Below are 27,041 nucleotides of genomic sequence, written 5' to 3'. Positions count from 1 at the left end.
AATTACTGATCAAATAAAAAATAGAATAAAGACTTCGTCAAACATGTAAGGAGTAAAATGAGTAACTCACTGGCATTCTTTTTGGGAAGGCACTCAAAGATGAGCTTCTGCAAAATGTAGGATAAAGAAAAGATTGATAAAAATATGGGATCTAAGGGACCTGCTGTGGTAGCTCATGCCTGTAATCCCAGCACTTTGGGAGGCCAAGGCAGGGGGATCACGAGGTCAGGAGATCAAGACCATCCTGGCTAACACGGTGAAACCCTGACTCTACTAAAAATACAAAAAAAGTAGCCAGGTGTGGTGGTGGGTTCCTGTAGTCCCAGCTACTTGGGAGGCTGAGACAGGACAATGGTGTGAACCCAGGAGGTGGAGCTTGCAGTGAGCGGAGATCGCGCCACTGCACTCCAGCCCAGGCGACAGAGCGAGACTCCGTCTCAAACAAACAAACAAACAAACAAGAAAATATATATATTGGATCCGGGAAATGATAATCCGACATAGGAGCTCTAATAAAAAGAAGTGTCAATCTAGTCCTGATGGTTGCAGAAGGATGGCATTCTGAAAAGCAGTCTGAGGGCTGAAAAAGGTGAATAGAACAGATGGACTATGATATAATTGAACTTCAAAAAAATATTGCTTAGATATTTAACAATTTAATTGGGCATTTGGGAAAAAATAAGAATATATACACGAAACTAAGCAAGTGAAGAAATAAGCAGTTTGTAGACTTCAGCAAAAACTTGCGCAAAGAAAGACAAAAATCATAGTTTGCAATTTGACTTACACGTGAACAGTGTTTACACTGTCAACACAATTTAAACTCTGCTGCTTCAACTAAAAGTTATAGCATAAGTATATTGAATAGATAGATGGTGATAACACATAAGTGATGGTTGTATAAAGGAAACCAATAGATGATTAAAATATATGAATCAAAACATAATGAGCATATTACTTAGAAACATAAAGGTAAACGTCAGAAGGAATAGATTAAAAGTTATCAGTCGTTACTTCCAGAGATCAAGACTGAACTAAGGTGGACACAGGTAGGATAAGAGACTGTGTTATTAAATACTTTTTCAAATACAATTTGATTTTTAACTGTCTACCAGTATGACTTTGGTAAAAACTTTCTGAAAGAGCACTGAAAACAAATAAGTAAGGCAATCAGCATCCTGTTAGATATACATTAAGCACTCAGTAAGTGTTATCTATCACTATTACTATTGCCATTTGTTGGAGAAGAAAGATGGAAGGACAGGAAGAGAGTAATATGTAGCCTCTGACGAAACTGCTTGAGTACCTGTGGGAGTCAGGTTAAGCCCATTGCCATAAACCATTGTAGCTTCTTCTTTCCCATTCCCAAAACATTGTGACCAATTTGAAAAGATGAAAAGAAAACCTACCATGATTCCAGATTCAATAAACATTTACTATGCAGCTACAGTAGTTTAGGCACTAGTGATTTAAGATGAATATGGCATTGTCTTATTTTCCAGTAACTTAAGACCTCCTGTTGTAATCAACATGTGTCAAGTTTTGCTCATTGCCAAAGTGAAGTATAGCGAAAGTACCATGTGTGCATCAAAGACAGGACAATTGATCCAAACTTTGGGTTCCAAGAAGGATTCATGGAAAAGGGATGCATTTTATTTAAGCCTAGAGAGTGTTTTCATAGATAAAATTATGAAGTAAAGAGAAGGAAAGTCCAGAGAGAGAAAATTGGTTAGCAAATCCTCAAAAGGGAAAAACATGTTAGAGAAACCTTGCAGTCTTTTGTGGTTAAAGGTCAGGATGAAGGAGTGTAGAAATACCAAAAGTGATGTAAGGAGATGCTAGGGGCCAAATGTTTACAGTGTCCTAAGTTTTTATAAACTGTCTGTCTTAGACTTGGGTGGGTCAAGGAAGATAGCAAGAATACAAAGGAAAACTGTTATTTGGTATTATAGCTATACAGAAAGAGTTACTTTCTGTACCTTATAAGAATTTAAAGTTATTATGTTATACCTTGTAAGAATTTAAAGTTATTATGTTTGGTTGCTCTTGAAAAAGGTTAAAAAGGCCAAGGCTAGTGACCAGTTGAAAGAAAGAAAACTGAGATTCTTTCATTTTGACAGGTGCTGAAGGCTTAATATTCATGAACAGAAAATAAATCATGGGACTTTTCAAGTTCCGAAACTTTGCTAAATGATTTATCTACTGATGTTTCCTGTCACATTCTCTTTCTCTTTGTAGATTAATAACTTATAAATGATTTGCTGTTTTTACTGAGTGTTTTAGGGTTTGTTTTAAAAGGGGAATTTAAAAAAGATTTGATTCATCTACCAGGTTCAACTGGTGCCTACATCATTTTCAATATTTTTAAAAGCTAAGCAAATAAGAGACAATCATTCTTTGTAAACTGTCTTAGATCAACTGAAATGCTGGTTTCCTTTTTTGTGTGTTAACAGTGACTAGTTCTCAATGATCTAAAATTATGATTGGCAGTTAGATCTCCGATTGACTAAAAAATCCCAATGGTGATTTTTTAAAAATGTGATGACTATAGAGGGAAAATAGTCTATGGGACCTTTGGTGGTAATTTAGGTTGAAAACAAGTAACATAAAATAATGGCTTTTGAAAACAATAAACTTGCATTAGATACGGAACAAAACAAAACTGATTTCCTTTGATCTACTAACTTCTGTCAAGATTCTTGATAGAATACCCAGTTGACATACAGAGACTTTCAGCCACCACCAGAGGCCACCACCAGATACGTGTACAGCTCCGTAGAGAAAGACTCTAGCTGCTTTTGCAGGTCACCTGCTTTGTCAATGTTGGCAACAATGAAAGACAGTCAAGGTAATAGAGGATATATGAAAATGATGGTTATGATGATGGCCAGACAATTGAACCAAGACAATAAATGGCTAAGATGGGTTAGAAAATAAAATTATTGAAGGAATGGAGTTTAAAATATAGAGTGCTGGAAATATGATCTATATTGGTATTGAAATTGCCAAGTGTATTCATCTGGGTTCTACAGAGAAACAGAATACAGAATGTGTGTGTGTGTACGTATGTATGTATGTAAAATGAGGATTTGGCTCATACACTTATGGAAGCTGAGAAGTCTTAGAATCTACAGTTGACAAGCTGCAGGGAGGAAAAAGAACATTAATGGTGTAGGGAGAAGACTGATGTCTCAGCTCAAAGATAGGCAGAAAGCTCAGTCTACCAATTCAAATGCTAATTTCATCCAGAAACACCCTCACAGACACACCCAGAATAATGTTTAACTAAATATCTAAGCACCCCGTGGACCAGTGAAGTTGACACATAAAATTAACCATCATACCAAGAATGAGCATTGGATTATAAATTATGTTGAATGACAGAATGCAGACACAAAAGAGAGGCCATTTATCTCATTATAAGTCCATTGACATGAACTTCAAATATAGGCAAAGCTGCTCTGTAGTGATAGATATCAGAAGAATTATTACCTGATTGCTGAGGTCAGAGGCGTGGAGTGTGACTGGAAATGGATATGATAGAATTTTCTGAGATAATGCAAAAGTTCTAGATTTGATTTGATGATGTTAACATGGGTGTATACATATGACAAAACTGATTTAAAAGCACACTTTGACCTGTGCCTTTTATGGTTTGAAAAGTAAATGTTGATAAGGAAAACATAGAAATGCAAATAAAATGTTTAAATAATTTCAGGTAAGAGAGAGGCAGAAGGATAGAGAGTAAAACATAGAAAGAGAGAGAGAGGCTAGTGGGGCTTGGCATTAACAAGAGGCACAGTGAACCAGAAATTAAAGCATCAGGATGATAGTAACCATGAAAAGTAGTGGGTGATGGAGTCTGATGGCAAGAGTTGGGGCAAGTTGGAGAAGAATGGAGAGAATAATTTGGAACCCACAGGAGAAAAAAAAAGAAAAAAATAACTACCTACTCTCAGGACTAGTTCCATAAGGTCTATGAGAAAAAATAAAAGGCACCTGTATCAGTTGAGAATTCAATCCGGTAAACAGGAACACTATAAGTAATATGGGATATAAGAATTCATTGTACTGATTAGACTATACACAATTGTAGGAATTGGTGAAGGAGCTGGGGAAAGTTATCTCTCTGCCTCTGGTGGTGGCTGAAAGTCTCTACATGTCAACTGGGTCAGCAGGAAGGAAGAAAACCCTTATTTCAAGGAAAGGAAACAAACAAAACTGGAATGCATTCGAACAAACCAGAATCAGCATCATTTTCATTGTTTCTGAGCTTGACTAAGAAGGCAACTGGCAGAAGAGGGGAAAATCTAAAACATAGGTTATTTCCAACTCTCCACCTAATTCACATCTGCACTTGTGCAATTAATCAAGGTTAGAAATAGACAAAACCATGTAGAGCGATTCAACTTCAAATTCATCGCTAGGATCCTTGGGTGGATTCCTTGGCAACTCACCTGAAGGTCATTTTCATGGCTCTTAAACTGTAGTTTTCCGGTGCTTCCCTGCTCCGGTTCTCCTACAGTACTATTTTATTAATACATCTATTCTTCTATTCACATCTCCAACACCTTCTCTCTTATTTTCACTTTCAGCTTTTGCACTTGCTTCCTACATCGCTGAGCAAATTGAAGCAATCAAATGAGAGCTTCCAGAAACTCCACTGCATCTATTAGTCTACTCAATCTGTGTTCTTATGATCTTTATCCACTGGAAGGTACAATCTTAAGGTTAAAACCTACATTCCTAAATAAACTCATCTGTTTTTCTCCACTCAAAGGTAACTATCCCAGCAATTTTACATCTCTTATCCTAAATTATCCATTTTTCCTTTTTGATAGGTCATCATCAGCATACAAACCTACTTTTGTCTCTTCCATCTTAAAAAACAAAAACAGAGCCGGGCACAGTGGCTCGTGCCTGTAATCCTAGCACTTTGGAAGGCCGAAGGGGGGCGGATCATTTTAGGTCAGGAGTTTGAGACCAGCCTGGCAAACATGGTGAAACCCCATCTCTAGTAAAAATATAAAAATTAGCTGGGCATGGTGGCAGGAGAGATTACAGAATCCCAACTACTCAGGAGGCTGAGGCAGGAGAATCACTTGAACCCGGGAGGCGGAGGTTGCAGTGAGCTGAGATCACACCATTGCACTCCAGCCTGGGAGACAGAGCGAGACTTTGTCTCAAAAAAAGAAAAAGAAAAAAAAAAGAAGAAGAAACAAAGAAAAAGAAAGAAAAAAGAAAACTTCTCTTGCGTGCATTTTCCTTCCAGCTATTACACAATCTACCTGTCCTCCTTCATAGCAAAACTCCACAACATAATTGTCTATATTCGTATTCTCTAAATCCTCTCCTCTCATTCCCTCCAGAACTCACTTCAATTAGCTTTAAATGCCACCCCTCCGAAGAATTGCCCTCGTCAAAGGAGACAATTCTTCATGGGTCTATAGCGTTTGTGTAAGTTTTCTAAGAAAAGGCACTAGCTCCCTTAGTTCTGGAATCTAATTTTAACATGTTCGTTTAGCAAACATCCTTGGATAGTGTCTCCTTCAGGGCAAGAGCGAGGCAGGCTTACTGCTCATTATAAAAGATTTGGGTACCCTAAGCTTGAGGATATGTCTCTTCTATTGTGTCCCACTGCTTTCTACACATCACTGGGCCCTCTTTAAATCACCCGGTGGGAATTGGGACTTGGAAGCAGACGCTAACACTCTAAATGCCCATGGTTCATTTATCTACCAAGTCCCTGCTCAAACTTAAACTTCTCAGAGATGCTTACCAAGAATACGCCATTAATTTGAAACGACAACCACCATACCTTTTATTCCTCTTACTTTGCTCCATTTTTCCTGATAGCACTTACCGTATTTTCCGTATTTTGTCATTTCCTTATTTACTATGTTTATTTCTCATCATCTGCTTCCCCTATCTTTTTAGAGATAGAGGATTTTTTTCTGTTTTGTTCACTGATGTATTCCTAATATCTAAAACAGGTTCTGGCAGGTAGTAAGTTATCAATATTCGTGCAATGAATGAATAAATTCATCTTTTTATTTTTCCTAAATTTCTACTACCAGCTTCTTCTAACTCTGTTATGGTATGCCAATGGAAAGGAATGAATTAGTTGGTGTGATGTATCGTGAGTGTGAGAAATATGGGGGAAATAGTAAGTGTAATGACCGTGCTAAAACGACCCAGCTCTCCCTGTTAAAATGACCCACACTCCTTTGCTTAGAGGTGATGTAGATGCTTCTTCCATCCAAGACAGCATATGCGTTTCTCAGGGTCTGTTCCTACTCCCCACTTAACCACTGGGCCTGTATCTAGGGTCAAGGCACAGAATAGCCCAGCTGGAAATGTGCTGAGCCTGGTAAGGGAGAAAAATCACTCTCTCCCAAAAGTAAGACCTTGTCGGCATGTATCAGAAGCTAGGACAGCATACAAGGGGTTGAACTCAGAGGGTGTTTGATCAAGATGGCCAATATTTAAGGTTGGATAAGTGAAAATGACTAATTTGAGATCACTATTCCAGAATATTGGATTGAACACTCTGACAAGGACCCTAGGAGACAGCACAAATTCACAGTTAGGATGGCCCCTAGAGGCGTGGAATAATTAATAGCCTACACTAAGTGAAACTGGAGTGCCAGATATTGCTTTAGCAGAGGGCAGAACATATGTTAAAAGGCACAGAGAAATGAATATGCTGGAATGGATATGCTGTGTGAAGCTAGAAAATGTAGCAGATGATTTTGTGCTACAGTGAGACCCAGAGAGTACATCATTTATCAAGGACGTATAGAACATGGTATTGAGAGGGGCATGAGCATCACTAATTTTAGTGGTCGTGGCTTTCCTCTACAGGACAAAGTTGAGTCTATTAGACAGTTAGGCTCAAAAATAAAATAAGGGTGATGGGATTCTGGAACAGTAGAGGCCACTTGGTTAGATTCACTGTCATAAATCAGGTAGGTGCAATATTTTTATTAAATGCAAGGTAGAAGGGTCAGGTAGGGGCCTGCAAATTTAAATAGTGTATAGTGACCCTGGAGGCAAAATAAATGAGTAGTAAACAAGGATACTACTCCATTTGTACTATCAAAAGAAACTAAAAGTGGATGGTTATAAGTCTGAGTGCAATTTCTCCAATATAAGCCTATGATCTCTTTCTCAATTTCTATACCTTTGCCAGTTTTTGGACATGGAGCCCACTGACTCCAGGAAGAGTCCATTTTCCCTGGAAGAGTAACCCAGCAAGATCATGGCAGGTATACTTGGTGGAGGCTCCCATACTGCCCCCCAAAGGGAGCTGTGCTTATTTTCTTGGGTAGAATTGTGCATTAGGGGAGGGGAATACACAAACATTTCAAGGGCTGCTAGACAAAGAATATGAGTAGTCACTAATACCTGGAAACCAAAAGCATCCTCTTGGGGCCTTGCTAGAGGTAGGACATATGTAGAACAGATAATAAATGGAGTCCTGCTGGAGGTTCAGGCACAGTGGGTTCACTGGGTATGTGAACTCACCTGAAGGTCATTTCCACGGTTTTAAACTATATACTAGGAAGATAAATAATTGGCATTTGACAAAACACCAACATTGGGTTCTTTGTCAGGTGTGATCTATCACATTTGGGGAGACAAAGTAGAAGCCTCTGAAACTGCTCCTTTCTACTCCAGCCAAGACTGAAATCAAAACAAATATTTTATCCCAGAGAGGGATGGCAAAAATTGAGGCCACTCTTTATTATCTAAAGGGTGGAAGATACGTAAATCAACCTAAATGCTCATCAGCGGTTGAGTGGATGAAGAAAATATGGTACATATACACCAGGGAATACTATGCCATCATAAAAAAGAATGAGATCCTGTATTTTGCAGCAGCAAAGATGGAGCTGGAGGCTATTATCCTAGGCAAACTCATGCAGAAACAGCAAACCAAATACTGCATGTTCCTTATAAGTGGGAGCTAAACATTGAGTACACATGGACACAATGTTTTTGCTATTAAGAGAAAAGTTTAAAAATGGCCCCAGGTAGATAATATGCAGCTATAGATTTGGTGAATGAGCTCTTTATCATTCCTATCAAAAAGGAGAAACAGAAAGAGCTTGCAGTTACACAAGAAAAGAAAACTCCCTAATTCCAGTTTTTGTTGCAGGGCTGCATTGTCTATTTCACCCTTTGTCATAATACAGTCCAGAAAAGTCCGTTCTGTCTGGATATTCTGTGTGATGCCACACTGTTCCATTACAGGTATTGACATAACATTGTTTAAATAGGACGTGCAAAGGTGGTTAGTGTGCTGGAAATCTTGATAAGAAAATGAGAGGCCAGGTGCGGTGGCTCACGCCTCTAATCCCAGCACTTTGGGAAGCTGAGGCGTGCAGATCACGACGTCAAGAGATTGAGACCATCCTGGCTAACACAGTGAAACCCCGTCTCTAATAAAAATACAAAAAATCAGCTGGGCATGGTGGCATGCGCCTGTAGTCCCAGCTACTCCGGAGGCTGAGGCAGCAGAATCACTTGAACCTGGGAGGCAGAGGCTGCAGTGAGCCGAGATCGCGCCACTGCACTCCAGCCTGGGCGACAGAGCGAGACTCTGTCTCAAAAAAAAAAAAAAAGAAGATGAGAGATAAGCCCTATGGAGATTCAGGGGCCTGAGACATCAGTAAAAAATATTGCTACATGTCACTCACACCATTTAGATAATAAACGCCATACGACATCCACGGACTATGAAGGAATTCAGATCCATATTTCATCGACTGTATCTGACAATGGAAAGACAACTCGAAACAGCCAAATAAAGACTGTGAGGACAATAGCAGCAGCAGACAGCAGAGCAGCTGGTATAGCAGCAGGCTGGTATGGTGGGGTTATTTTTGAACAAAGATCTCAAGCATGCCACGAGTGTAAGAGAAAGAAGTGCAAATAATACCATGTTGTGTAAATACCAGCTGGCCTTGTAAATCAAAGGGCAAACTGTACGTCCAGAAGTCACTGAAGAGGTTACAGCATATTTATTGGTCTTTTTAGTGGAAATCATCAGGATACTCCTTCAGCTATGAAGAAGGGTGATATTTAGACATTTTGATATTTCAGTTTCCAAACTCAATCGGAAAGGTTATAATTGGCTACTTGGTCATTCCAGACGTACACTTAATGTAAGTTTTATTTTGGGGGCTCACTTTTTGAACTTGATTCTTAAGTTAGCTTTTCAATATGCAGTGTCTTCTTTTTCTAATTGGATAGTTCATTCCCTAAGGGCAGCAACTATGTTTTATGTTTATTTGTTAATTTCATTGCACCTCCCTAGTATAGTTCCAGTACCAAATGTTTGGCAAATATTTGCTAATTCTTTTTATTAAGTTGATATCTGTGCTGGGCTCAGTAGCTCACACCTGTAATCCCAGCACTTTGGGAGGCAGGGATGGGAGGATCGCTTAAGGCCAGGAGTTCGAGACCGGCTTGGGCAACATAGCAAGATCTTGTCTATGCAAAAAATACAAAAAGTAGCCAGGCATGATGGGGCATGCCTGTATAACCCCAACTACTCAGGAGGCTGTGGCAGGAGGATCACTTGAGCCCAGGAGTTTGACCCTGCTGTGAGCTATGATTGAGCCACTGCACTCTAGCCTGGGCAACAGAGAGAGACCCTGTCTCCTGTCTCTAAAGAAAAAAAAAGTTGATGTCTGAAAGTTGGACTCATACAATAGAGTCAAATAATACAGAAACATCAGAGACCAGGGTGGAATTTTTGGTTCTTTCATTCACTTTGTCACTTTGGATAAGTTACTCAATAACACTCATCCTTATTCTGTTAATAATATCTACCTTGCAGGATTTTTTTTGTGTATTAAAGATTATAAAACCTAGCACTGTTCATAGAACACAGTAGAGGTTTAATAAGTGGTAGCCACTATTATCAGTTTTGTCTATGTATTTATTTGTTGAGACAGGGTCTTTCTCTGTTACACAGGCTGGAGTGCAGTGGCAACAGTTTTGTCTTTTTTTCATGATGTTTTAGGACTTGTTGAAGAGATAATTATCACTAGATAATCAACTACCTAATTATAATATTTTGCATATTCTATATATGCAAAGATAAAAACTCATATGGATATTGTTAAATGACATATTATTACACTTTTTTTTTTTTTCCTTTTTATGGAGAACGGGATCTCACTATATTGCCCAGGCAGGTCTCAAACTCCTGGGCTCAAGCTATCCTCCCACCTCTGCCTCCCTAAGAGCTGGGATTACAGGTGTGAGCCACTGTGCCCAGCCTGTTACGTGACATTTTAAAAATTATTTAATTTGTGTCTGAAGTTATCTGAGTGGTCACCAAGTCAAATCTCCCATGTCATCCAGTTTTTGTTTAAACACTTCCAGAAATAGGTCTCTTACCACCTCAAGTCTTCAGTCTTGGGGCAGTCTTAAAGTCAGAATATTTCATGTTTAAAGTGAAAACAAATGAGGATATTTGTGACTTTCCCCCTACTGACTTTAATCTTGCCTTCTAGAACTGTGCAGACAAGCCTGTATTGCATATAAGTTTTTTAAATAATAAAGTGGGAATGATATTAATACCAAGAGGTTAATGTTAACTGTGACTTTAATATTAAATGTTATTGATCTGAGGGTGGTCAGTCAGGAAAGACTTTAAAGAACAGGCTCTTCTTGAGTTCGTGCTAACTCCCATCGCTCTTCATATTATTAACGTACCCAAGTAAGATTCAGATTCTTCTCCTCTGTGCTCCACAACCCCCTGCACATATCTATAGCCTGGTCAACTAACTCCAAGATGGCAGCCAAAAAGACTGCCATATGGTAAGTACTCAACAAATGGTTTACAAATAAGTCAGTGAGTAAGACATAGCCAGGAATATGAGGAGTAAAGGCATTTCAGGAAGCAGGAGCCACATGCAAAAACCTGGAGGTATGAGACTGCTCAGAGATTTGAGGTAACTATAAGTAGTTAGATGGAAGTAGCCACGGTAAAGAGTATTAAAGTTGTAAATATATAAAGTAAATTAAATTATGTGGAACAGCGAATGCATTAAAAACTACTTAGGAGAGAGTCTAACATATGGAATGTTGTCATCAAATGTTAGCTATTAACTTATTGTTAGTGATAGAACTTGTTGAGGAATTCAGGCTGTGTTCAGCCTGTTTTCTTCAGCAAATGTCTCTGCGTTGGCCGGTAGTAGACAAAAATCGTACAAGGTTCCCAGATGGTGCTTAGCCTTAGTTTCTCCAGCCTCTTCCTTGTAAATCAGCTGGAGAAAGAATATTGCACAGAAGGGTTAGAGAATCACTTCCCAAAACAATTAGCCCTATTTGTCACAGTGTATGTAAGCAAAAAGATAAAAATTCAGTGATTAAAGAATAGGTTTTTAACTCTATCTCTTGACTAGAAATTTCTTCATGCCTTAGTTACCTAAACCTTTGGGTAGATTTACAAGACTCACTCTGATTTGTAACACTGAAAGGAAAAAAAAAAATTGGGATCCTGAACTCACTAAGCCAAAGGGAAAAGTCAAGCTGGGGACTGGGTCACACAAACCTGCCTCCCATTTTGTTCCTAGATAGCTACATACCTCCCTCACGTATTACTCACAGGGAAATTCCTTGTGGGCCCCAAGATCTTTACCCTAACACACAGTTCTATCAAATTTCACAGGGACAGTGTAAATTGATAGCTTATCCTCATAGGTACGGGACAAAGGACAGAACTCAAAGTCATCCCTTCACTCTACTGAGACAAAGGCAGGTCTGACTGCTTTCTCTATCCTATCTTTATTTTATCTTATATAAAAATGCAGATTCACTGAGCACGAGACAAATGCATCTGTGACTATTCCTCTACCCCCTTCTCATATGTAAAATGTGTGTTCAGTGAACGCTGATCAGAAACTCAAAAGGAAGCAACCGTATGTCCTCTCTTTTCTCTTTAAAGATTGGGGGGGCCCCAGACCCTCTTTGGAAGAAAGCATGGAGCACTGTAATTTTTTCTGATAGTTTTGTGTTCCTTTTTTCCTAGGTGTGTCCTTAACCTTGGAAAAATAAACTTCTAAGAATGACTAGACCTGCCTCAGTGATTTTCTTTGATTTACAACACAAATCTAGCTTGTGAAGTTATGAGAAAAATATCTCCTGTAACAGATTGTTTTGGTGACTTTCTTTCATTTTGTTAAATAGTATAAAACAAAGTATTATTTTTGATGAGTGCACCCTTTATTGCAGAAGGAAATGATTTGTTTGTCACACATAAATCAGCATCTCTTTTAGGGCAAATGTATCATGTTTTATAGGATGAAGACCCAGCACACCTGGCAGCTGCACACTTTGTGTCTGAGCTGGGCTTGGGAGCTCCCAAATCCCCTCTCTGCTGTTCTCCTTCAGTGCTGGCCTCTGCAGGCTGCATTTCCCAAACCTCAACGTCAGCAGGCCTTCAGTTGAGTGCACCCAATGGGAGGGGCTGCTGGAAAATTGCAGGGTGGTGATGATGGTAGTGGTGGTGGTGGGGAAACAGGAGAGGAGAAAGTTAGGGTGTTTCTCCTCCTCCTCCGTCTTGAGCAACTCTGATAGAAGTCATGAATTCTTTAGACTCAGCTCCCAAAAGACAATCCTGCCAGAATTCCACCTGCATTTGGATGTGACTCTGTCTCCTGCCCTCTGGTAACAGTGTCTCTTCTCTTTGTTTCTCCTGTCTAGAGATGGTGATGGCTTCAGATTGGTCCTAATGTTTAGGATTACTCACCATCACTTGTTTGTTGTTCTAGCTTTTCCAATATCCATGTAAAAAATAGTAAATAAAACCAAATCAAACTAACAAACAAAAAATTCTAACAAATTCCTTCTGTTTTACATACTTAAGGACACCATGTTCTTGATTAAAGCCTCACTGCTAGAATGTCCTAGTAAAACAACACAAAAGGAGATAAATTTCTTATTTTGACTATTTCAGCACCAACAGAATTACAAAACTTTACAATATAGGATTTTCTAGCCATATCAGAATTAATCTTTTATCTTATGTATCTGATTTGTTTCAGAATAGAATATATTATGAATTCTAAGCCCAAGGGACTGAATGGACCCCATCTGTTGGCCAAGGGGATTCCAAAGTAAACCTGAAAAACTATTTTAGGCCACGATGGGAAGAGAGGGTCAGACATGCCTCATTATACTTTTCTCCCTTTTGAATTCATGCGCAACTGGCCAACATTCACATTAAAACAGAAATCTTAAGACTGACAAAACAGACTCTTTGTGGCAGTGAGATACCAAATTCCAATGTAACTGTAGTATAGCATCACATGACAGCAGATCCTGAAAGAAATGAAATATCTCACCCCAAAACGTAACTCTTTGACATATTTTGAAATGGCCCCTCAAAGCTTTCTCTTGTAGAGGAAATTCATATTCTGCAGAGAAACCTCTTCCCTTTCCAGGTGTTTTTCTGATCCTGAAGAGATTAGCTGAGAGTCCAGCAACTTCTAAAGGTCTGAATAGAAAACAGCTGCCATCTATTTTCTCTAAGGGTGGCCATCTGTGAGACTTCATCTGCATAATAAGAACCTTGGTTTCCACAACCCCTTAACTTGGACAGTCCTTTCTATTGATTCCAGGTCTTTAAATAACAACTTAATTCCTCCAGTCAATTGCCAATTAGAAAATCTTTGAATTTGCATATGACCCAGAAACCCCTACTTCAAGTTGTCCTGCCTTTCCCGACTGAACCAATGTAGACCTTACAGGTATTGACTGATGCATACCTGGAGCTTCTGTCCCTCTAAAATGTATAAAATCAAGCTGTAACCCAACCATGTTGGACACATGTTTTCAGGACCTCTTGAGACTCTGCCCTCAGTCTTGGTCACTCATATTTGACTCAGAGTAAGTCTCTATAAATATTTTACAGTTTCTCTCTTTTTCATCAACACACTCTATCCTGAATAGCCAAGAGACTGAGATTACTGGGGAAGGTCAAAGTCAGCATACTTATTCATATTCCCATTTGACAGAAAGAAGATGACTGTTTTAGTCAATTTGGGATGCTATAACAAATACTATAGACTGAGTGGCTTATGCAACTAACATTTATTTCTCATAGTTTCATAGCTGGGAAGTCTAAGATCAAGGCACCGTCAGATTTGGTGTCTGGTAAGGACCCCTTCCTGGCTTACAGTCTGCACTTTCTTGCCACATCTTCATATGGGAGAGAAAGAAAATGAGCTATGACATCTTTCTTTCCTTATAAAGACACTAATCTCATCATAGGGACTCTACCCTCATGACGTCATCTAAAACTAATGAGCTCCCAAAGGACCTACCTCCAAATAAACAACACACTGGTGATTAGGGCTTATAAATTTGGTGGGGACACAACATTGTCTATTTTATTACCAAGATGACAAAAAAACAGTTTATTTTTGAGAGAGGGTCTTACTCTGACACCCAGGCTGGAGTGCAGTGGTGCAATGATGGCTTACTGCAGCCTTGGCCTCCTGGGCTCAAGCAATCCTCCAGCCTCAGTCTCCTAAGTAGCCAGGACTACAGGTGCGAGCCACTACACCCAGCTATTTATTTTAATTTTTTTTTTTTTGGTAGAGATGGGGTCTATGTTGTTCAGGCTGGTCCTGGGCTCCTGAGCTCAAGCAATTTGGATTCCCAAATTGCTAGGATTATAGGTCTGAGCCACCACACACAGCCAACAAAAACACTTTAGAGATAAATAAGTGTATTCAAAGTGGATAGTGAAGAAGAATTTTAGGTTACTCAGGAAAAGGAAACTTCAATAAAGAGGGGACTTAGAGTCAAAGAATCGTGACATTTTCTACTTTAAATCTTCCTTCCCTTCTCAAATGCATATCATTTTATAGATAATGAAACTGATGCTTAGAAAATTGACTTTTTGGAGACCACACTGCCTATATTAGATTAAGGAATAGAGTTCAGATCACCTGAATTTCAGACGAGAGTGTTTTCAATAATATGCTGCTACTCTTCTTTTCAGTAAAAAAAAAAAAAAAAAAATTGCCAGCACACTATTCTAGTAATGAAAACACTAAAGTAAAACGAGATAATAAATTAGATATAGTTTGCTTTTGAAATTTTAAAACAACGATGTCAAATGAAGTGATCCTTGGAAACATCTAACATGGGAGATAGAATTTAGAAAAATAATAGGCTAATTGGATGTTTCGTTTGCAAATAAATACTTTAGCATATAAAGAAAGATGTGCTGATATTGGAGTAACAGATTAGGTGGTACAGCACTTATAATTTGAATGCTCAGCTAAAAGAAAGATTGAGAATCTAAAAACAGACCTGGTGTTATCTTGTGTATCAATATTTTCTCTAAATGTTTAGTATCTCAGTAACAAGACATAAGCCTACCAGGATAAACTAGCCCTTATAATAATACAAATGGATAAATTAATTGTGCTTTGTTCAACTCATCTAAAAACTTTTAAGATAGACTTTGGCCACTGTCAGTGACTGTGGCTACGGAATTGGATGCTAGAAAAGAAACTGATTGAGGCAGAAAATAATCAGGTATTTAGACTTTAATATGAACACTGATGAACACAGCAGAAGGAGGAAATAAATCACGAGACAAATCTTGCTCTCAAGATACTCAGAAGCTTTGAAAACCCAACACCATGGCATGTTTAAAGTTAATATTTTCAGATTAAGTAGAGAAAAAATTCAAAGTAGTAGAAATACGGTCAGATCATTGAAAGAAGAAAAATATAAAGAACTAAAATCATTAAAACACAATAAAACTAAACAAACAAACAGGAAAATATTCCTCAAATTTAATAGGCAATGAAGAATGACTAGATAGTATTTTATCGGTTTGTCATAGAAGAAGGGAAGCTAATAATATATGCTGGTATAAAAACTGAAGCTTTTCAGTGCACACATTTCTGCTTCTTCAAATAAGATAGTGTGTTAGATGACTGGCTGAATCAACTAACGGTTATATTAAAAAGATGCAAGATTTAAGTGATTAGAAAAATAAATACAGTCCCTGGATATATTGCTATTACTGCATATGCAGGCTTATTTATGGACCTAAAGATATATTTGCAGTGCTACTAGCTTCAATGAGAAAGGAATATAGAATACATTCCTGAACACCAGTAAAAGGAAAATATAGGCTTACCTTAGAAAATTGTGGGAGAGGAGGCCAGGCGCGGTGGCTTGTGCCTGTAATCCCAGCACTTTGGGAGGCGGAGGCAGGTGAATCACGAGGTCAGGAGCTCAAAACCAGCCTGGCCAAGATGGTGAAACCCCATCTCTACTAAAAATACAAAAATTAGCAGGGCATGGTGGCGGGCGCCTGTAATCCCAGCTACTTGGGAGGCTGAGGCAGAATAATCATTTGAACCTGGGAGGCGGAGGTTGCAGTGAGGCGAGACAGCACCACTGTACTCCAACCTGGGCAAAAGGGCAAGACTCCATGGAAAAAGAAGAAAATTGTAGGAGAGTAAAGAGATTATTCTTGAGAATTATAGAATGATCAAACCAAAATAATATTAAAACCAAGTACCAGCAGTCATTTTGCATAGTCCAGATATGCACAAATTTCAGTTACCACATTTTAATTACCACTTATCCCTGAAAACCATGCTTCAAGTCTTAATGATTACTCTATATTAACTGTGAATAACTGCCTAAAGTACAGACTTATTATAGCCGGCTTTACAGTTGACAAATAGCTGCATAAATAACAAACACACCATGAGCAATGACCAATCACGTCACTTCTTTCAAAGTCTGTAGCTAATTGGTCACTGTGCATCTGTTATTCAATTCACTTAAAGACAACAGAGTAAGCTGGGCAAGGTGGCTCATGTCTGTAATCAGGCACCATGGGAGGCCAAGGTGGATGGATCACTTAAGGTCAGGAGTTTGAGACCAGCCTGCCCAACATGGCGAAACCCCGACTCTACTAAATATACAAAAAAAATAAGCCGGGCTTGGTGGTGGGCACCTGTAATCCCAGCTGCTCAGGAGGCTGAGGCAGGAATCACTTGAACCCAGGAGGCAGAGGTTGCAGTGAGGTGACATCGCACCATTGCACTCCAGCCTGGGCAACAAGAGTGAAACTCTGCCTCAAAAAAACAAACAAACAAACAAAAAACTCAAACTCATATTCAAAGCAAAGTTCTCAAATAAATAAACAATAAAATACAAAGCAAAGCTCTGTCCTTGGTCTGCTCTCTTCTTTCCCCTCCTACTCTTCATTCCCAACACATACTCTTCCCTGCACTGACGCATGTGGTTTTGGAGTAGAGATAGAAGAGAGAAATTTCTCCTTGGGAAAGTACCCATGATTAGGTATCTGTCTCTTTGTTTAGCTCGTGTTTGTAGGCCCAATGAGGAGGAGCAGAGAATGCAAGTGGCCCTGCACTCCAGCCTGGGTGACAAGAACTCTGTGTCACAAAAAACAAAAAAAAAAAGACAACAGAGTATAATGACATTGCTTCCCTGTGATAAACCCATGTTATATTTTACAAAACCCATGTCATATTTTACAAAAACACGTGATCAAAAATAGTCAATGGCCAATAAAGATAAAAATGCAGCAAAGAAACAAAACCTGGTGATGAACCCTGGAAGTGAAATTCTAATAGAACACAGGTGGAATTATAGAAGAAGTAGCTGATAATGAGAATGCTGCACTGCCGATGTCTGAAAAACTAGAAGTGCAGCCAGAGGAACTTGGTGAGGGTGTCCTTATAGATACAAATGAGGAATATGGCTATGACAAAAAAGATAATGGTGTCCTAGAGGAATCAATGCTGGCAAAAAAACTTCACTTTCAAGGAACTCAGAAATATTTCTTGACTGAAAGTGCAAATGAAAAATGAATGACCTGAGACACACTTAGGGCAGAGGATGACAATTCACTGATACATAGAAAAGATGCTCACACCATACCATACGCCATACTGTGAGAAGAAAATAACCAAAGTTCAAGTTACTCAATAAGTTTTTACAAAGAAATAGTTTTCTCAATTTCCTGTTTTAAATGAGAATGTAAAAATACATAGTAGTCTTATGAAGTTTTCCATTTCTCTATATATTTTAAATGATAGTAAGAATTTTTACTATTTGGATGAACATTTTAAAAGTGATGGAACTGTCACATTTGTCCCCTCTGAATATTAAAATTGCTTTGCGCAGTTTCAGCTTAAATTCAGTTTTCTGACTCTGCGCCACTGTGCAAAGCAAGAATTGCCTATGTTAATCTGATTTCTGTGTACCTAGAATAATACAACATATTGCCAAATTGTATTTTGTGAAGAGCAAGGTACTCAAGATTAATTTTACTTTTTATCTATGCCCTACACCGGAATGAGAAAGAGATAGACATGTTGGATAATTTTCTGAATACTTAGATGTATCTCACAAAAATATTTTTTATGGGATTATTTCGTACTTGCTCTATGTCCTACACTGTGCTGGCACATGTAAAGAAAACAAAAGCGTTTATTTACTTCAGTACCTTTATAAAAATAACCATAAATCGAAATGAGCACAAATGAAGCAACTAGAAAACAATTAAGTACTATATTATATTCATTTCTGATAAGGAGAGATTAATGTGATAACACAAGGCTTCCTGGGAAATTGTGCTAGAGCAGAGTGGACATTTGAGTTAAGAGATGAATCATGAGAAGGATTTAGAAAACAATTAGCAAATTTATGGTTGCATAAGTGCATGTAAATATTAAAAATCTCACTAAAAATAGACCTAATTTAAGAGGTGAATCATGAGAAGGATTTAGAAAACAATTAGAAAATTTATGGTTGCATAAGTGCATGTAAATATTAAAAATCTCACTACAAATAGACCTAATATAACATACATACTAATACGGTGGGAGAGAAAAAGAGAACACATAGCAATGTCAATTACCTCAACATTTATAGAGAGGGCCAGTCAACATAGTTAAAAATCACAGGCCAGGCGCGGTGGCTCACGCCTGTAATCCCAGCACTTTGGGAGGCCAAGGTGGGTGGATCACGAGGTCAGGAGATCGAGACCACCCTGGCTAACACAGTGAAACCCCGTCTCTACTAAAAATACAAAAAAAATTAGCCGGGCATTGTGGCTGGCGCCTGTAGTCCCAGCTACTCGGGAGGCTGAGGCAGGAGAATGGCATGAACTCGGGAGGCGGAGTTTGCAGTGAGCCGAGATGGCACCACTGCACTCCAGCATGGGCAACAGAGCGAAACTTAGTCTCAAAAAAAAAAAAAAAAAAAAAAAATCACAGTGCTAGGCTGGGCACGACGGCTCACGCCTGTAATCCCAGCACTTTGGGAGGCCAAGGTGGGCAGATCACCTGAGGCCGGGAGTTCAAGACAGCCTGATCAACGTGGAGAAACACCGTCTCTACTGAAAATACAAAATTAGCCGGGTGTGGTGGTGCATACCTGTAATCCCAGCTACTTGGGAGACTGAGGCAGGAGACTCGCTTGAACCCGGGAGGCAGAGGTTGTGGTGAGTCGAGATGGTGCCATTGTACTCCAGCCTGGGCAATGACAGTGAAACTCCGTCTCAAAAAAACAAAACAAAACAAAACAACAACAACAACAACAAAAACAGTGCTTTTTCTTTATTCTTCATCTTAGAGGATTTTTAAAAAAACTAATAACCCATGTTGCTTAAGAATATTTGCCTGAAAATTAGAAGTATATTCCTATTTACTCCCATTTCTTTTTCTTTTGCAAAATATAAAAAATTTAATAGAATTTAACTTAAAAGAGCTTATATGCTGTTAACACTTTCCTCTCAAATTATTCTTTTCTTCCCGTTTCTCTTTTCCTGTTCAATGTGTATGAATAGAGGAATATTTTCTATGATGTTCTGCAAATATTAAAGTTGGCTTTTAGTCTGTGACTGTTAAATTATCATTCTTTTGACTTGATATTTTTCTACAGCTTAATTACCAGTGTTTTATACAGGTCTTATTTTAATTTATTAAAACACACCGCTTAAAGTAATGTGTAATAAATATACTAATTCTGGGACACATGAGAAAATGTAAAAAGGTGAAGAAAGTCATGTATTCTATCATACAAAGACCTTGCAATTAATATTGTATGTTTACTGGATTTTTCCTATTTTTTCCCATTCATAGGAATTTCTGTATATACAGATTTGCTATTATTCTGTACATACATTTTTAATCATGTTTTCCTTTACCATAGCATTTATTTCATGTATGTATTTCTAACACAGTAAGACTTGAACTTTGAAATTACTCTTTGATCTATGGCCTGCAGAATGGATGTTGTGTTTGCAGGCATGAAAACAACATTAATCTTCTTATACATCTTCATCAGAGCTTTTATATGATTGAGTACATTGTCAATGAGCATTAACATTTTGAAAGGAATCTTTCTTTTCTAAGCAGCAGGTCTCAACAGTGACCTTAAAATATTCAGTAAACCATACTTTAAACAGGTGTGCTATCATTCATAACGCTATAGCTGCCTTGATGGATCTGAGCAAAGTATATTGAAAACCTTCTAGGAGAGACTCACCATTCTCTGCCACGAGAACTTTGTGATTCATGAAAGGAAATCACAATAGTATTAACAGGAGTTTGAAAGAAGTTGATTCCAACCCTCACACATGACATTGAGGGGCTCAAGACTTCAGTGGAGGAAGTTTAACTGGAATTGTGGTGGAAATAGCAAGAAAACTAGAACTAGAAGTGGAGCCTGAGATGTGACTGAGTTGCTGCAATCTCATGGTAAAACTTAAACAGATAAGGAGTTGTTTCCGAGGGATGAACAAAGAAAGTGATTTCTTAAGATGGAATATACTCCTGGTGAAGAAGCTATGAACATTGTTGAGATGACAACAAATGATTTCAAGTATACATAAACTTAGTTAATAAAGAAGCAGCTGGATTGGAGAAGATTGACTCCGATTTTCAAAGTGGTAAAATGGTATCAAATAGCATCACATGCTGTGGAGAAGTCTTTCATGAGAGTCAATCAATGGAGCAAACTTCATTGTTGTGTCATTTTCAGAATTTGCCACAGCCACCCCAAGTTTTAGCAACCACTACCCTGATCAGTCAGCATCCATTAACATCAAGGCCAGACCCTCCGCCGGCAAAAAGATTATGATTTGCTGAAGGCTCACGTAATTGTTAGCATTTTTTTTTAGTAATAAAGTGTTTTAAAATTAAGGTATGTACATTGTTTTTCAGCCATAATGCTATTGCACACTTAACAGACTAAAGTACATTGTAACTTAACTTTTTTATGCACTGGAAACCAAAAGCTTCATGTGACCTGCTTTACTGTGATACCTGCTTTATTGCGGTGGTCTGGAACAAAACCTGCAATACCTCTGTGGAATGCTGAGAAAATGAACAGAAATTTATTGGATCATGGTTCTTGAGGCTGAGAGGTGCAAGATTGAGGAACTGGCATTTGGTGAGGGCCTTCTTGTGACACATCATCCCATGAAGGAAAAGCCAAGAAAGAGCAAAAGAGGGAACAAGAGGGGTCTGAACTTGTCCTTTAATAAGGAAGCTGCTACCTCAATAATGAATCCACCTCCTCAATAATGGCATTAATCCATTGATGACGGCAGAGCCTTCATGGCCTAATCACCTCTTAAAGACCCCACTTTTTTTTTTTTTTTTTTTTTGAGATGGAGTTTCACTCTTGCTGCTCAGGTTGTAGTGCAATGGTGCCATCTCGGCTCACCACAGCCTCTGCTTCCAGGTTCAAGCAGTTCTCCTGCCTCAGCCTCCCAAGTAGCTGGGATTACAGTCATGCACCACCACACTGGGATATTTTTGTATTTTTTAGTAGAGACAGGGTTTCTCCACGTTGGTCAGGCTGGTCTCGAACTCCTGACCTCAAATGATCTGCCCACCTTGGCCTCCCAAAGTGCTGGAATTACAGGCGTGAGCCACCTTGCCTGAAGGCCCCACTTCTTAATACTGTTGCAAAGGTGATTAAGTTTCCAATCCATGCTATTTGGGGAACACATTCCAATCATACCATAGACTGAATTGTATCACCTCAAAATTCGTATATTGAAGTCTTAGCTCCCAGTACCTTAGAATGTAATTATATTTGGAGATAGAGACTTAAATAGGTAATAGGTTAAATGAGGTTATATTAATAGCTCTCATCTGATCTGACCAGTGTCCTTTTAAGAGGAGGAGGTTAGGACATTCAGAGAGACACCAAGGATGCAGGTGCAGGGAGGGACTGTGAAGAGGAAACAAGAGGCAGCCATCTGCAAGCCAAGGAGGGAAGCCTCAAGTAGAAATTTTATTTCACATGTCCATGGCATGGCTATATAATTTTTACAATAAAAAATCACAAATTAAGAAAGAATCAAATCAGACATGAGGCAAGAGTTCCTGCTATTAACATTTCTACTCAACTAGAAGTTGTACTTGATGTAGGACTTCTGGCCTGTGAGAAAGTACATATCTGTTGTTTAAACCACTAAATCTATGGTATTTTTTCATGGCAATCCTAGCCAACCAGGAAAAGTCAAGTATAGCATATGTTCATGAAAATGTTTATGGTTCCATGTGGATTTCAGAGTAGGTTTTTCTAATTATGTGAAGAATGTCAGTGGTAGTTAAATGGGAATAGCATATGATCTACAAATTACTTTGGGCAATATGGGCATTTTTATGTTGTTGATTCTTCCTATCCTTGAGCATGGCAAGTTTTTCTATTTCTTTGTGTCCTCTTCTATTTCCTTGAGCAGTGGCGTGTAGTTCTCCTTGAATAGGTCCTTTACTTTCCTAGTTCTCTTTGAAGAGGTCCTTCACTTTCCTTGTTAGCTGTATTCCTAGGTATTGTATTCTCTTTGTAGCAATTGTAAATGGGCATTCATTCATGATTTGGCTCTCTGCTTGTCTATTGCTAGTGTATGGAATGCTTGTGATTTCTGGGCACTGATTTTGTATCCTGAGACTTTGCTGAAGTTGCTCATCAGCTTTAGAAGCTTTTAGGCTGAGACTATGGTGTTTTCCACATATAGGACCATATCATCTGCAAACAGAGACAGTTTGACTTCCTCTCTTCTTATTTGAATACGCTTTATTTCTTTCTCTTGCATGATAGGCCTGGCCAGAACTTCCAAAACTATGTTGAAAAAGAGCCAATATAGCCAAGATGATCCTAAGCAAAAAGAACAAAGCTGGAGGCATTATGCTGTCTGACTTCAAATTATACTACAAGGTATAGTAACCAAAACAGCATGGTACTGGTACAAAACAGACACAGAGACCAATGGAACAGAATAGACATCTGAGAAATAAGAACACATATCTACAACCATCTGATCTTTGACAAACCTTACAAAAATAAGCAACGGGAAAAGGATTCCTTAACTAATATATGGTGCTGTGAAAACTGGCTAGCCATATACAGAAAATTGAAACTCAAACCCTTCCTTTCATCTTACACAAAAATTAACTCAAGATGGATTAAAAGCTGAAATGTAAAACCCAAAACTATAAAAACCCTAGAAGAAAATCTAGGCAATACCATTTGGAACATAGGCACGGGCAAAAATATCATGACAAAAACATCAAAAGCAATTACAACAAAAGCAAAAATTGACAAATGGGATCTAATTAAACTAGAGAGCTTCTTCACAGCAAAAGAAACTATCATCAGAGTAAACAGACAACCTACAGAATGGGAGAAAATTTTTGCAATCTACCCATCTGACAAAGGTCTAATACCCAAAATCTACAAAGAACTTAAACAAATATACAAGAAAAAAATCAAACAACCCCATTAAAAAGCAGGCAAAGGACATGAACACATACTTCTCAGAAGAAGACATTTATGAGGCCAACAAACATATGAACAAAAGTTCAACATCACTAATTATTAGAGAAATGCAAATCAAAACCAAAATGAGATAGCATCTCATGCCAGTCACAATGATGGTTATTAAAAAGTCAAGAAACAACAGTTGCTGGCGAGGCTGTGGAGAAATAGGAATGCTTTTACACTATCGGTGGGAATGTAAATTAGTTCTACCACTGTGGAAGACAGTGTGGCAATTCCTCAAAGACCTAGAAACAGAAATACCATTTTACCCATGAATCCCATTACTAGGTATATACCCAAAGGAGTATAAATCATTCTGTTATAAAGATACATGCACACATATGTTCTTTGCAGCACTATTCACAATAGCAAAGACATAGAACCAACACAAATACCCATCTGTAATAGCCTGGATAAAGAAAATGTGGTAGGGATATATATATCATGGAATACTATGCAGCCATAAAAAGGAATGAGATCATGTCCTTTTCAGGGACATGGATGGTGCTGGAAGCCATTGTCCTCAGCAAACTAACACAGGAACAGAAAACCAAACATTGCATGTTCTCACTTATGAGTGGGAGTTCAACAATGAGAACACATGAACACACAGAGGCGAACAACACACATTGGGGCCTCTTGGCGGGAGTTGGGGGAGAGAGAGCACCAGGATAAATAGCTAATGCATGTGAGCCTTAGTAGCTAGATGATGGGCTGATGGGGCAGCAAACTACCATGGCACACGTATACTTATGTAAAAACCCTGCACATCCTGTACATGTATCCCAGAACTTAAAAAAGAATAAAATTTTAAAAAGGCCAGGCATGGTAACTCACCCCTGTCATCCCAGCACTTTGGGAGGCTGAGGCAGGTGTATGACTTGAGGCCCGGACTTTGAGACCAGCCTGGCCCACATGGTCTTTTAGTAGAAACCCCGTCTCTACTAAAAATACAAAAGTTAGCTGGGCATGGTGGTGCATGTCTGTAATCCAGCTAATCAAGAGGCTGAGGCAGGAGAATCGCTTGAACCTGGGAGGCAGAGTTTGCAGTGAGCCAAGATCGTGCCACTGCACTCTAGCCTGGGCAACAGAACGAGACTGTGTCAAAAACATAAAATTACTTAATTAAATTAAATTTTTAAAAAAGAAAATTTCTATAGATCTTTTACTGGTTTGTGTAGTGTTATGGAGCCTAGTTGGAAAATAGTCAAGAAAGAGGAAAGCAAGAAAAAAACAGCAGGAAAGCAAGGACATAATCTATTCAATACCATCACATGTAGAATTCTTTGACAGCTTATATGAAAACACTATATGTGTATACACAAATATATTTCTCACTATAATTATTATTATTTGTTTTTTGAGACAGAGTCTCACTCTGTTGCCCAGGCTGGAGTGCAGTACACAATCTTGGCTCACTGAAAGCTCTGCCTCCCTGGTTCACGCCATTCTCCTACCTCAGCCTCCCAAGTAGCTGGGACTACAGCCACCCGCCACCTCACTTGGCTAATTTTTTGTATTTTTAGTAGAGACGGGATTTCACCATGTTAGCCAGGATGGTCTCAATCTCCTGACCTCGTGATCTGCCTGCCTCAGCCTCCCAAAGTGCTGGGATTACAGGCGTGAGCACACTATAATTATATTTTATAACCTATACCTGTACAATGTGAAAAGTGAGGCAATTATCCTAGTTAGTTGATTGCAAGTAATTATTAGCAGTATTAACTATCTCTACACTAAGTGTTTGATATTAGGTTATAGGCAAAGTTTCTTGAGACTCTATCCTAGAAAACTGTAAAAAAGAAATGGACATAAAGGTACACCATTTAACCTCATAGACAACTAAATGGAATTTGGTCAATGGAATTGAGGCAGGAGAATAGGGTCTGGAGTCAGGGAACCTAAGGTCGATTCATGCTGACTTCCCAGAACTAAATCAAAAGAAACTCCCCAACTTTCCACACCTAAGTAACAAAAGGACTGAAGACTACTTCCTTTGCAACCCACCCTTTCTTTTGATGAGTGTCAGATGGAAAATCGTAAGTACCTCTGATGGGTTGCTTTCCACAACCAATCACATTGATTGCAATCCAACTCTTCGTGTGCATAGAAGTGTAACTTTGTAACTTCACTTTAGCCTCTGATTGGCTGCCTTCCACAACAAATCAGATGTTTGCATAGGGTGTAACCTTTGTAACTTCACTTCAGCCTGTCATTGGTTGTGAAAAACTTTCTGCCAACAATCAGACTGATGGTGGGCCACTACTTCATTTGCATGGGGTGTACACCAAGTGGCCAATAGGAAACCTCTAGAGGGTATTTAAACCCCAGAAAATTCTGTAACCAGGCTCTTGAGCCCCTATGCTCGGGCCTGCTCCCACCCTGTGGAGGGTACTTTTGTTTTCAATAAATCTCTGCTTTTGTTGCTTCATTCTTTCCCAGCTTTGTTTGTGCATTTGGTCCAATTCTTTGTTCAAAACACCAAGAAGCTGGACACCCACCCCTGGTAACAGAATTGAAATATTCTAATTCTTGAGCACGATGTAGAATAAATTCCTTTGTAAATCACGTTTAAGAAATATAAGTGAGCCCTCTCTTAAACCTTAATATCTGAGAATTTACTGACTTTGGTAATGTAGCTACTATGTTCTTAGAAAAAATTACATTAGTTGATAAATAAAAAGACCAAAAGTATGTTAAAGTCAGCACATCCTTTAAACCTCTGAACTATACAAAAAGGATAAAGTATAATAGAACGCAGAGGAATAGAACACATTAAGAAAAAAGACATACATACTGGGTGATTAAATGTATTTATGATGAATTCGTGTAGCTATTTTTTCATCCTACTCAGGGTTCACATTGGATTAGACATTACTTGGTTTTAAAAATTCTTTAAACGGATTCTTCTCTTACATAACAGCATAAAACCTATTTGAAAATATTACACAATTAGTTATTCTTTGGGTACAGGCTGCACTTTATTGGTTAAAAAAGTTCACGTTATTCAGAATGAAATTTCTAAGTAGGAGCAAACAAGGAATAATTTTAAAGATATCTTTCAAAGCTTGATGTACAGAAAGCCAAAAAGAAGACCCTCATTATGTTGTTAAAATTCCAGAAGTCCTGTTCTATTGAGCTCTAAATGTACATCATACTGAGTTATTCTTGTTGGA

The 27,041-nt window shown here is 38.5% G+C and overlaps 1 protein-coding gene and 1 long non-coding RNA gene across 5 annotated transcripts in view, besides 1 other annotated feature; one reads left to right on the top strand and one right to left on the bottom strand.

Moving 5' to 3' along the window:
- TUSC3 (tumor suppressor candidate 3) overlaps window positions 1-27,041 on the bottom strand; it is a 434,904-nt gene that overhangs the window by 349,144 nt on the left and 58,719 nt on the right. Inside the window, exon 2 of one of the 4 annotated variants that reach the window (NM_001413672.1) lies at window positions 19,465-19,562. The exons of the other annotated variants lie outside the window; for them this stretch is intronic. The gene's annotated coding sequence lies outside the window, so the exon portion shown is untranslated. The remainder of the gene's footprint in view (window positions 1-19,464; window positions 19,563-27,041) is intronic. 4 annotated transcript variants of the gene reach the window in all.
- The window catches only part of LOC124902060 (uncharacterized), a 32,974-nt gene that overhangs the window by 3,682 nt on the left and 2,251 nt on the right, over window positions 1-27,041 (top strand). The window contains exon 2 of the long non-coding RNA XR_007061173.1: window positions 23,146-23,262. This is a non-coding gene — a long non-coding RNA (uncharacterized LOC124902060). The remainder of the gene's footprint in view (window positions 1-23,145; window positions 23,263-27,041) is intronic.
- Window positions 19,041-19,232: a silencer, noted in NCBI's record as "fragment chr8:15341225-15341416 (GRCh37/hg19 assembly coordinates)". NCBI's record gives its function as "represses an EF-1alpha promoter that drives an FKBP-Casp9 reporter gene in an ReSE screen in K562 erythroleukemia cells {active_cell/tissue: K562}" and the evidence as "EXISTENCE:reporter gene assay evidence [ECO:0000049][PMID:32094911]".

This window comes from Homo sapiens, chromosome 8, assembly GCF_000001405.40.
Source record: "Homo sapiens chromosome 8, GRCh38.p14 Primary Assembly".
In the NCBI taxonomy this organism is placed as follows: domain Eukaryota; kingdom Metazoa; phylum Chordata; class Mammalia; order Primates; family Hominidae; genus Homo; species Homo sapiens.
The sequence above is the reverse complement of the archived record's forward strand: the minus strand, read 5'-3'. Positions and strand labels throughout refer to the sequence as shown.